Raw genomic sequence first — 13,295 nt, 5'->3', positions numbered from 1 at the left:
TAATTCCAAAAGGAAATTATGGCTGCTTATACATAGAAAAACAATGTTAGATACTCAATGCCACATGATTGAAATGAAATGAACATTATCCCAAGGAAGCAGACAGATGCTGCATTTTAAGACACCTGCATTTAGCAGATTAAAGCACTCCTCTCATGCGTCTGCTCCTGTTCATTTCTGATGCTGAAAGAGAAGAGAGAGAATGTTGGGAGAGGGTGTTTTTACTTCCTGACAGTATAAAGCATATGAATTCAGCTGGGTTTTCCCCAAATTTATACTTTAGAAAACATTGTTTTACTTATGCACTCTCTCCTACTTTTTCTCATTTCTCTTTTTCTTCTTTCATCCTTCCTTCCTCTTTCCTTCTTTCTTTTTTTTTTAATTATACTTTAAGTTTTAGGGTACATGTGCACAATGTGAAGGTTAGTTACATATGTGTACATGTGCCATGTTGGTGTGCTGCACCCATTAACTTGTCATTTATATTAGGTATATCTCCTAATGCTATCCCTCCCCCCTCCCCCCACCCCACAACAGGCCCCGGTGTGTGATGTTCCCCTTCCTGTGTCCAAGTGTTCTCATTGTTCAATTCCCACCTATGAGTGAGAACATGTGGTGTTTGGTTTTCTGTCCTTGCGATAGTTTGCTGAGAATGATGGTTTCCAGCTTCATCCATGTCCCTACAAAGGACATGAACTCATCATTTTTTATGGCTGCATAGTATTCCATGGTGTATATGTGCCACATTTTCTTAATCCAGTCTATCATTGTTGGATATTTGGATTGGTTCCAAGTCTTTGCTATTGTAAATAGTGCCGCAATAAACATACATGTGCATGTGTCTTTATAGCAACATGATTTATATTCCTTTGGGTATATACCCAGTAATGGGATTGCTGGATCAAATGGTATTTCTAGTTCTAGATCCCTGAGGAATCGCCACACTGCCTTCCACAATGGTTGAATTAGTTTACAGTCCCACCAACAGTGTAAAAGTGTTCCTATTTCTCCACATCCTCTCCAGCACCTGTTGTTTCCTGACTTTTTAATGATTGCCATTCTAACTGGTGTGAGATGGTATCTCATTGTGGTTTTGATTTGCATTTCTCTGATGGCCAGTGATGATGAGCATTTTTTCATGTGTCTTTTGGCTGCATAAATGTTTTGTTTTGAGAAGTGTCTGTTCATATCCTTTGCCCACTTTTTGATGGGGTTGTTTCTCTTTTTTTCTGCCTTAGGTGTTTATTTACATGACACTTTTCAGACTTTCTCACATTTTAGAAGGGAAGAGTATATGTGCTCTGAATTCCAGAGAACACATTTTTGGTTCATGATCCATTGACACAAAATTAGACCAGATTGTGGAACACTGCAGATTATCCTAAATTCCCTTTACGGATTTATTTTTTTTTCTTTTCAGTCAGGTAGGACTTGATGACAACTTGCTTCTTCATAGCTTACTTAAGTAATTTCTTAAGTATCTTTCCATCTCCCAGATACACCTTAACCTATAGTGAAGGTAAAGATTCCCATAATTGTCAGAGGTAACTCCCAGATTCTTATTGATCTTCAAGAAATCTTCCTGTGAGATGCCAAGATTTGGCTCTTGGAATAATTTTATGGGATACATTGTCCAGCTTGAGAACTTGTGCTGCTCCTTCTGAAGTGGCATCAACTGATACTAGTCACTAGAAGAAAACTATGTATGATGCTGAAACCCAAGCTCAGAAAGAAAAACATCTGGATGGGTAAAAGTGAATTGCTAAGAAGCAGAAAAATCTGAACCACCTTATTTTGGACATATACTAATAAACCCTTTTTGTTGAATCTAAGACAATTTTATGGCAAAAGTGTTTTTTTTGGAATGTGCTAGTAAATGAATTACCAATAATTACCAATACTTTTATGTCTATACCTTTTGAAAAATACACACACATACAGACACATATATTATATATAATATACACATATGTATACACACACACATATATATATATATATACACACTTTTTTTTATATATACGGTCTCACTCTGTCACCCAAGCTAGAGTGCAGTGGCTTGACCACGGCTCACTCTAGCCTTAAACTCCTGGGCTCAAGCGATCCTCCTACTTCAGCCTTCTGAGTAGCTTGGACTACAGGTGCCTGCCACCGTGCCTAGTTAATTTTTTTAATTTTTTGTAGAGATGGGCTTTCACCATGTTGTCTAGGCCGGCCTCAAACTCCTGAGCTCAAGAAATTTGGCCATCTCAGCCTCCCTGATAATATATTTTTTTAATGAGGATGTATTCATCTCTTTAAGCATTCATATTAAAATTGGGTTATTCAAAAACATTCTGAGGTTTGTGAAATAAAACATGATACTATTTGAGATCTGCTTGATAAAAGGCCTGTCATTACATGGCCTTGGTTGCTATTCTAGACCTTCTTTATTCTCTGGAAGCAAAGCTTAAGAGAAACACTTAAGGAAATACCCACTTTCAAGGAAGAGCCAAGAGTTGGCTGCATCCAAGGTCACTAATTGTTTAAAATTAATTTATTTCAATGGACAAATAAAAATTGTGTATATTTATAGTGTACAAAATTATGTTTTGAAGTATGTATACATTGTGGAATGACTAAGCTAATTAATGTATACATTCTCTCACATACGTGTAATCTCTTCTGGAGACAACACTTAAAATCTACTCTCAGCAATTTTCGGGAAATTAAAAACACAATAAGATATCATCTCACACATGTTGGGATGGCTATCATCAAAGAGTCAAAAGATAACAAGTGCTGGCAAGGATGTGGAGAAAAGAAAACCCTTGCACACTTTTGGTGGGAATGTAAATTAGCACAGCCATTATGAAAAACAGTATGGAAGTTCCTCAAAATATTAAAAGTGGAACTACCATATGATCCAGCAATTCCACTGTTGGATATATATACAAAGGAAAGGAAATCAACGTGTCAAGGAGATATCTGCGCTCCCATGTTTATTGCAACACTAATCACAATAGCCAAGATGTGAGAACAAAGTGTCTACCAAAGGATGAATGGATAAAGAAAAGGGGGTGCATATTCACAGGGGATACCATTCAACCTTAAACAATAAGGAAATGGTGTCATTTGCCACAACATGGATTAACCTAGAGGACAGGAAGTAAAGAAAACCAGACACAGAAAGACAAATACTGCATGATCTCACATATGTGTAGAATCTTAAAATGTCAAACTCACAGAAGCAGAGAGAAAAATTGTGATTACTACGGGCTGGGGATTTGGGAGTTGAGGAGATGTTGGTCAAAAGATACAAAATTTCGGGTAAATAGGAGGAATAAGTTCAAAAGAACATTGTACAACATGCTGACTACAGTTGATAACAATGGATTGTATCCATCCATAGTCTTTTTCTTTTTCTTTTTTTTTTTTTTTGGAGGCAGGGTCTCGATCTGTTGCTCAGGTTGAAGTGTGGTGGCATGATTTTGGTTCATTGCAGCCTCCACCTCCCGGGCTCAAGCATTCCTCCTTCCTCAGCCTCCCAAGAAGCTAGGACTATACATTCACAGAACCACCCCTGGCTAATTTTTGTATGTTTTCAGAAACAGAGTGTCACTCTGTTGCCCAGGCTGATCTTGAACTCCTGGGCTCAAGTGATCTACTCACCTTGGCCTTTCAAAGTGTTGGGATTACAGGCAAGAGCCACAGTGCCAGGCCTCATCTATGGTCATTTTTAAAGTAAATTTGGGATCAACAAAGACTAAAGCTCATTATGGGTCTGAATGGAGTGGTTCTGATTCCAATTTTGCACAGAAAACAAAATCTAACAAATTTCATTATGTTCATAATTAGATTATCTTCACATAGATGGTATTATCAGTATAGAAACATCTTAAATGGGGGGTTTGAGATGGAATTGGACCTTTAATCAGCCTTCTGCCAAATTATCTTTTTGCCTTTCCCATTTTAATTGCAGTAGAGTTTCCTAGAATTTAGTACTGAAAGTAAAACCTTGTTAATTTAGATAAAACTAATTACGAATTTGTGGTTTTAGCCTTGAAAATTTAAATTTTATGCTTATTTTAATAAGCAAATAAATAGGATGAATAACACTGCTATTGGAAGTACTGCCTACTTGGGAAAACACTGCTTTCACATATTAAAATAACAATTTACTAGATATAGTGTAATTTCAGCATAAGTGGAAGTTGGCATGACTGAAATTGTGGCTTTGATGTGCTAGTTTCAAGCCATTCTTCTTTATTTATTAAAATGGGTTCTCAATGGAGCAACAGATGGTTAATGTAATTCTAGGATTTGGAGTCTTGAAAGTAATATAAGCCCTCTTCTTTTAAAATATCCATAATTTATATACATCTTCCCTTTTAGTTTGTATAAATGTTTGGTTCAATTAGCCAAAAAACAAAAACTAAAAATGACTGAAGTATTCTTTTTTCTCATAAAAACAGCTGTTGAAACAGTTGAAATTATTTTTCTGATCACCAACCTGTAATACAGTCTTCGCTTTGCTACTAGTCGCTTTTTTTCTTCTTTTTCTTAAATTATCAACACCAAGCATTATTGTAGATCACCTTAAGAAGCTCAATAACTTATCAAGTCATATAGTAAAACAATTATGACAATTATTTGTAGTGGTCTGGTTTGTATTTAAAGTTCAGTATTTTGTGATTTTTCGGGTCTGCTATTCTGATTGCATTGCTCCACTGCCAATTTACTATATGTTAGCTCCATCCGAATAATGTGTGAGATTCTGAGGATGAATGCATGCAGATTATGCCCTGACCAAAGGGCCACAGTGAACATAGCCAAGTGGCTGTTGGAAACCACCTCAGGCTCCTCTAGCAGAGCCTGTGCCTTGGAAATTGGGGTGAGGTGGCATCAGGCCAGAGGAAGAGGAACCTTTTTGCAACCCATCAGTCAAGAGAAGTGCCTTTGTGTAATTATCTCTCCAGAGGGTGTGCTTTACCTTAGAAATAGCAGGCATGAGTTTGACCCATATATTGGTACTTAGGGTATTTTTTTTCAGGAGTTTTTGGTTAATACTTATATCATTTTTTTCCTAAAAGTGATTACAAGTTGATCTTTTTTCTTCTTCTGTTATTGCCTATCATTAACCCACATGGTCTGTGCTTAAGGAGATGGGAAAAAGGTGGGACTTCACACTTTGAACACATACAACACGCTGGGCCAGGCACTGTATTAAGGTTTATGAGAGTGAGGCATCTCGCCTGAAAGAAGTTAAGACATTTGCCAAAGTTTGTACTGCCAGTCAGAGACAGGATCAGGACTGAAGCTCAGATGCATAACACACCAAAGGCTGGGTACTTCACTAGACACATGCTTCACAAACAAAAGAACTCACAGAGGCAGACCCAAGGACCTCTACGGAGCCATTGATGACTCGAAGGTCATCTTCTGGAGAAAAGCCATCTAATCTCACTGCAGTGGTTGTTGTCTTCCTTCTAACCCTCAGAATCAAAACAATTGAAAACTTTGGTCCATCACATCCTTAATGCTATTGTATGAAAATTGCTGTTTTAAATAACCAAAATCATTGTTTCCTTAGTGATATTTCTTCTCTGCTACTCTTGAGGGAAAGTGTGGCACAACACACACATCAGGCACCTCAGAAAATGAGATAAAATCCATTCTGGGGAAACCCAGGGATGAGCTTTCCAAAGTCCATGCCAGAAAGCCCTGAAACCTGAAGGTAAAACCTGGCGTCACACTCATTTCCCAAGGTGGGATCCTGGGCAGATGTCTCATTGATTTCTTCTGTCTCAGCCCTTCCATTGACCACGCTTTCCCAGCCCTGGAAGTGTCGTGGCAGGGATGGACTGATGCCAAACAACAGAACTCCTGAAGAAGAAAGGAAGGGGCCCAGCATTACCCACAATTTAGTTTCAGCGGAACCAGCTCTGTGCCCTCAGATCTTCTAGATGTGTGACATTTGTCTTTTCTCTGGAAAATGCCTCTTGAGGGCTCTATATCCTTCAAAGTCCATAGTAACAGGGATCTGTCTGGTTTATTCTAATATTTCTGGGCAAGGAATCTGAACACACAGCCTCTAGCCCCACCATTCTTCTCAGCCTCCAGAGATCCTGTTGTTCTAAAACCCGAATTTGATTACCTCAGACTTTCGCTTAAAACCCTTCATGGCAGCCAAGCGCAGTGGCTCACGCCTGTAATCCCAGCACTTTGGGAGGCCGAGGCTGGCGGATCACCTGAGGTCAGGAGTTCAAGACCAGCCTGACCAACGTGGAGAAACCCCATCTCTACTAAAAAGACAAAATTAGCTGCACACAGTGGCGGGCGCCTGTAATCCCAGCTAGGAGAATTGCTTGAACCTGGGAGGTGGAGGTTGCTGTGAGCCAAGATTGCACCATTGCACTCCAGCCTGGGAAACAAGAGTGAAACTCCATCTCAAAAAAAAAAATTATAGTAATAATCCTTCCTGGCCTTCTTCTTGTCTGCAAGAGAAACTAATTAACATTTTACCTCCCTCCCTGCTTGCTTCCCTTCCCTAATTTTATATTTTATTATAATAAATAATTTTTTTGAGATAGGGTCTCACTATGTTGTGCGGGTTGGTCTCGTACTGCTGAGCTCATGTGATCCTCCCACCTTGGCCTTCTGAAGTGCTGGGATTACAGGCGTGAACCACTGCAACCTGCTTATAAAAAAATATGCATGAGCTGCCTCTCACCTGAAATTCCAGGTTCAGGTTGAAACCCTGGGCCTACGTTGCTCTGGGCAAAGAACTTAACAACTTGGGCCTCAGTTTTCTCATCTGTAAAATGGGGAAAATGATGCCTAAATCACAGAGCTGCAATGAGAATTAAAGGAGTGAATATATATGAAGCATTTAGTTTAGGGCTTGCTGCCTTTTGAGTGTTCAGTCAATGCCGCCTGTGTTAGGGTTTTCATTTTCTTCTTTTACTCCTCAATGGACACCTGTCAGATCACCAGAGGAGCACTTTTCAATTTCTCCAAAGGGCTGGACTCACCTTGACATGCCCTGCTCCTAGATCACATAATGAACCCACTTTTGCTTATTCAGCTCTTCCTTCCGGTCACGTGAAGACACGCCCACCACCACCTTCATGTAAAGCTCTCATTCCTAGTCCGAGAGCTCCCAGGGCAATGCTGTCCAATATCTCTATGTTGCCAACCACGTGTGTAATTTCTAGCAGCCTGATTAAAAACGTAAAAAGAAATAGATGAAGTTCATCTCAATAGCAGACTTTAACCCAATATGTTAAAAAAGTTGCCATTCAACACATGATCAATATACAATTTATTTATGTGATATTTTATTCTTGTTGTATTGTGTGAAATTGAGGATATATTTTATACTGTAGAGCACAAATGCTCTGGAGCCACATATGACTAGCGGCTATTGTATTGAGCTGCATAGCCCAAGAGGGTGAGAACCACAGCCTGATCCTCCCTCCTTCACAGAAACCCATCCCGGTGGCTGACACTTAAGAGGGACTCGTAAATGCTTGTTTAGTCAGTAAAGTGTTGAACATGAACAAATCCTGCGAGTATGTAAGTGTATTAGTTTTCTGGCGCTGCTGTACCGAAGTACCATTAAATGTGTGGCTTAAAAAACAGAAATGAATTAGCCAGACGTGGTGGTGCATGCCTGTGGTCCCAGCTGCTTGAGAAACAGGTGGGAAGATCGCTTGAACCGGGAGGCGGAGGTTGCGGTGAGCTGCGATTGTGCCACTGCACTCCAGCCTGGGCAACACAGCAAGACTCTATCTCAAAATATAAATAAATGAAAGATAAGAAAATAAAAATAAAGAACAGAAATGTATTGTCTTCCAGTTCTAAGGACCAGAAGGCTGAGATCAAGGTGCTGGCAAAGTTGATTCTTTCTGAGTCTGTGAGGGAGAACTTGTTCCCTGCCTGTGTCCCAGCTTCCGGCGCATGCTGGCCGCCTTTGATTGCATTTGGCTTCTGCCGCATCACTCCAGTCTCTGGTTTCATCTTCACATCATGTTCTCCTCTGTTTGAGTGTCTGTGTCTGCGTCTGTCTGTCTGTCTCCAAATTTTCCTGTTTTATAAGGACACCAGTCATATTGGGTTAGGATTTGATCTTAACTAATTATATCTGCAATGACACTATTCCCAAATAAGGCCGCATTCTGAGATACTGAGGCTGAGGCTTCATCATATGAATCCCGGTGGCTGGGAACACAATTCACCCCATCACAACAAGGCAGATATTAATGCTGAGTCTTGCTTCAGGTCTCACAGCTTAGAGGGGCACCGCAGGCTTCTCTCCAGGTTGTTTGATTCCCAAATCCCCACTCCTCGACTTTGGGGAGCCCTCAGTGTCTGGGCTTGGTTTCTCCTGGCCAGTCAGGGTTGTGGTTGGGTTATGAAGGACAGAGCAGACCATTTCTCTGAAGCCTATTATTACTTAATTTTCAAAAAGTATTTCGTGAAATAAAATTAGCATGGATCTAAATACACCCACATTACAAGAAGATGAAATTCCCCTGAACTTGCCCTTTGTCGTCTTTCATTTCTCCATCATAGCTGCTTCCTTTTACTGCATTGGTGTCTGCCAACCACTGGCTTGGGTTGTCTGCTGAGGAAAATGAGGTTGTGAGGGGGAAGCAGTTTGAGGATGAAGGAAATAAGACGGTTTCAAGTCGGCAGGATGGCCCCTTTCTCTGTGTAATGACATTAGCCAACTCTTTTGAGGTCAAGTTTCCCAGACGGGGCCAACTCTGGTCTAAGCCAATGCCACAGTCCCTCTCGTGGTGTCCCTTGTTTCCTTTGGGAATTGGTGTTTTTTAGGCATCTCAGCGTGATGATCCAGCTAAAATCTCCACATCACAAAGAGGAGAAGGCTTTGAAAGCCAGAATCTGGGATTTGCCAATAATGCCAGGACTGTGGTGCATTGCTGCGTTTGCAGACCCAGGTCATGTGTTTACGTCTCCCTCTGCAACACACTGAGGAATCCTATTCCTCTGCCTCACTGTGGAGGAGCATCTTTTGCCAGCATTTAAAAAGCTACTTCAATGCCACTTTGTTTAAGATAAGCCCATACCAGCATTCAATTGGCCCGCAACCAAAGAACTTCTGTGCAGCTGGGAGAATTTATTACTAAAAATTATTTTCCAGACCGATTATTTAATTTCTTTTTCTAAAGGTCAAACTTTGTTACATTATGATTAAAGATTCCTCTTTTTAAATTGCCTTTTTTTTTTTTTTTTGCCAAAATGGGCTCCTGTCAGAGGACGTGGAAAACTTTTTATTTCTCCTTTTCTCTGAAAAAATAATGAGTTCTGCAATTCCTTTCAACCTAATAATTTTGGTAGTGCTAAAATTTGTCTCTCTGTTTCTAGGCAAATCCAACTGACACCGTAATATATCGAGTATCCAATGGAGACTATTTCAGGAGTTATTTAAGCATTTAGGACATGGGATTTGGAGTAATATGTTCCAGGCTTTCTTTATAAACTCAGAATATACTAGAAAAAGAAATCAAGAAAATACTTCTGTAGGTCCCCCTGTTCTTGGAGAGAAAATTAGACACAAGATGGTGAATAACAAGTCATTTCATTCAGGCTCAACACTATGTACTAGCTGGTCCATTAGGCTCCCGCATGGGTAGGGGCTGGGGATGAGGATTAAAGAGAGAAGAGAGTTTCGAGGGAATCAAAATAATAAGAGCTAATAGTTTTGAGCATATATACAAGGTAGTGACACCCTAAATACATCATCTCATTTAAGATGACAGAACCTTATGACAGTAGGAATTATCATTCACTCATTATGGGTAAAGGGTTGATGTTGCAAAAGCCTTAGGAAGTTGATGGAAGCCCACCATGACTCAGAAACAGAGCTAAGTCTGAGCTCAGGGCACTTGATCCGAAAGCATGTGATGTGCTTACATGTCCCACAGACATCCCAGAGCTGCTCCCACCCTGATTAGCTTTTTTCACATGGCATTTTGGACTTCTAGGTTGGGCCTCAAACTTTTCCAGCAGATTGAGGTTCAGCTCGAATTTAGAGGACATAGTGCCTCCTCCCTGGCCAGCTGTTGGTGAGCCAGCCACAAAGAATGTTTCACCCCCAGCGCTTGTGCTGCAAGATATACCCCAGGGTGGCTCATTCCCATCAGAGCCCCTTCCCAGGAAGTCAAAATGTGAAATTTCCCATGGACCATTCCAACGATTCTTTCTGATGCCTTCCTGGGCACCCAGTGTCGAATCAGAAAATACATTTCAGTCCTTCTTTTCCTCTGTGCACGTCACAATCTAAATGCTGAGCCTAAGTCATGTAAGATTTGAATGAGATAAAAAGAGAAGTGAGCATTTATTGAGTACTTACCATGTATCACACTTTCAGCTTTTTACTGTCATTCCCTAATTTTATACTTCACAAAAACCATATACAGAGAGAACTATCGTTATCCTTATTTTATAGTTGGAGACAATTAAGTGTAGAGATGTTAATTCTTTTGCTAAATGTCACCACCCTATTGAGGCTGGCTGAATCCTTAGTTTGACATCTTTTCCAGCCTTTCAGGTGAGTGAAGGCCCTTGGCTGGTGGCTGGCGCAAGGCACGCTTAGCTCAGGTAAGTCATAAAAATGTTTCTGCAGTCTCTCTTCTAAGCCACTGTTGTCAGGCCAGCACCTTTCTTATTGGTAAAATAAGTTACAGTTGGGAGCCCGCTTCAAGGATTTCTTTCCTCCAATAAGGAAGAGAAGAACTAACAAGTCAGGTTATGACTGGGCATTTTAACGTATTATTTATTTAAACAGCAGGTGTTATTAAAACATTTTTCAGATATCAATATTGAGACCCAGAGAGATTGACTTCTCCTATTTTACACAAAGCTAGACTGAGACTCAAGACACTCCTCCCAATTCTTTGCATGGGGGGCACCTTCTATGATAAAACAAGAGATGATCTCTAAATTACTGGGAGTGTGAGTGTCTTAGACACATTATTCTTTTTATTTTTTCCTAACATGTTAATTTCTTATCCAGCGACTTTAAGACTGGAAATACAGAAGCCATCATGAATCAATAACTCCAGGGTTACAGAGATAACATACACCCTGTCTAGGGACACTCTTCAAATAATTGGAACATATAAAAACAAAATAAAGTACTGAAACGATACTGAGCATAGTCAAATGAGACAATTGGATCTTTGATGGTTTCCCGAGCCCTTTCATTATTACAAATGTGTTATTTCATGCACTACCATTTAATCAAATGTACCATTGACTTTAATAAATGGTATAACACTAATTTTCAGAACATCAGTAAAAATGTAGGTCATTGTATTATAATTATTGTTCAGATTTTAAAACTCAGGACCCATTACGTCTGTTTAATATCAGTATTTTTGTGAAAATCATCCTGAGAGTGCACTTATGTTCTTTTGTATTATCTTTGCTTTATTATTTTATCTTTGGTTTCCCAACTTTGAAAGAAGATGTTACAATTTACAATCAGATTGTTATTCCAGGGGGAGATATAACAATTCTGGTTTTATTTTTTGGCATTCTCTCCTGTAACTTCATTTCATCATCTAAGAAAACACATTTATAACAGAGAGAAAAGGAAGTGTTAGTCCTAATATATCTCATGTTGACAGTGACCTTCTCATGCTGTTGTGATTAGGGAATGATTGTTGCTTCCAAAGTTCTCCTCATTTGCTAATGAATATGGAATGCTTTTCATATGTATATATAATAAATATATGAAAATTATATATGAACATTGTATATATGCAAATTATGCATAAAAGCTTCATTTAAAACTTCTGTTGCTCTCTGATTTTTGAAAAAAAATAGAAACACAATATTGGTTTCCCTGGTGAAAATTCTTTCCAGAAGACACAATATGGTATGAGATATTCACTAACAGCAGGCAATATACAAAGCCATTTCTACTGGAAAATATACCATCTGGAAAAAAACAATTTGTGGAAATGCATGTCAGTATGATTATGTTATCTTAGGTTAATGATGATAGTAATTGCGTCAACAAAGTAGTTTTTTAGTAGAAAATGGAAGAACATTTGGAAAGAGTCATTATGAATAGGATTTGGTTATATTTTCTGGCTATGACTTCATACATTTCAAAGCAAGAGGAACTGAACCAAGACCATGTGCCTGTTTCCATGTGCTGGATAAAATGCTGGAAGAGGGATAGGGGGAGTCTTGAGGTTTAATAAGACTGAAAAAACTCTGTTTCTTAGAGTTATCCTTAAGTAAACCTGTGATGAGCTTGACTCAATGTCCATGTCATTCTCTGTGCTTCAGTGTCCTGGTCACCTCCTAGTTCCTCATATACTCACACCAATGGCCTTCACACATGTTGTCCCCTCTGCCTGGAGCAGTTCCAACTTCCTGGCCCCAGTTCCCCAGTCTTAAACCCAACCCCTACGACATAAGCAATACTGCTTTAGCCTCTAGAGGAGGGATCAAAAAGCCCTCACTATACACTACTAGCATGTTGCTGTGAGCATTTTCTATGCACTTATCACAGTTATAATTGTGTTCTTATTGGCATGACTTTTTGAATAATGGTTGTCCATTCCCTGCTAGATTTTAAGTTCCCTAAGTGTCTAACTCAATGCCTGCCACTTAGAAGGGACCCATAAATATGTTCTGAAAGAATCAATGACTTGGCTTTATAGTAGTGATGACTGTGGCCACAGACCACCATCCTGAAGTTCACCACTAGTTTTACTAAGCAGCAGTGAGTGGTTCAGCTGGTGGTTGGCATGCTTTGCTGGCTGCCTTCAAGCATGGCTGGGGACTGAGGAATAGCAATTTCATCTGTTTGAAACTATCTGGGCTGTGTGGAGATCAAAGTAGGTGGGGGGGAATTAGAGCAACTGATTCCTTAATCAACCCAATCAGAAGGACTTCAAAGAAACTTCTGTATTGGAAAGATTGGGCAAGAGTTCCAAGGAAGATGAAGGTCTGGATGTAGGAAATGTTAAATCTTCTATTCTGACTTTATGAAGCTCTGTTTCTATCATATTGCAAATGTTTCCAGTTCAGTTCTAGGCATGTGCCCAAAGAGAACAGTAATGACTAGAATTATAAATTGAAAGAACTGGGAAAAGCCTTAGAAAATTGTTTAATGCTTTTTTCCCCAAGATGGAGACCTGGAGCAGGGCAGTGACTTGCCCACAGTCACCGAGTGCTGGATTCCAGACCTGACCCTGTCCACACACCAGTATCAGGTCTGGAATCCAGCCCTCTTTCTATCAAGGTACTTGCCTGCTTTTCCTACAGCA

This window comes from Homo sapiens, chromosome 2 (genome assembly GCF_000001405.40).
Source record: "Homo sapiens chromosome 2, GRCh38.p14 Primary Assembly".
Lineage (NCBI taxonomy): Eukaryota > Metazoa > Chordata > Mammalia > Primates > Hominidae > Homo > Homo sapiens.
Note: the sequence above shows the minus strand (reverse complement) of the source record.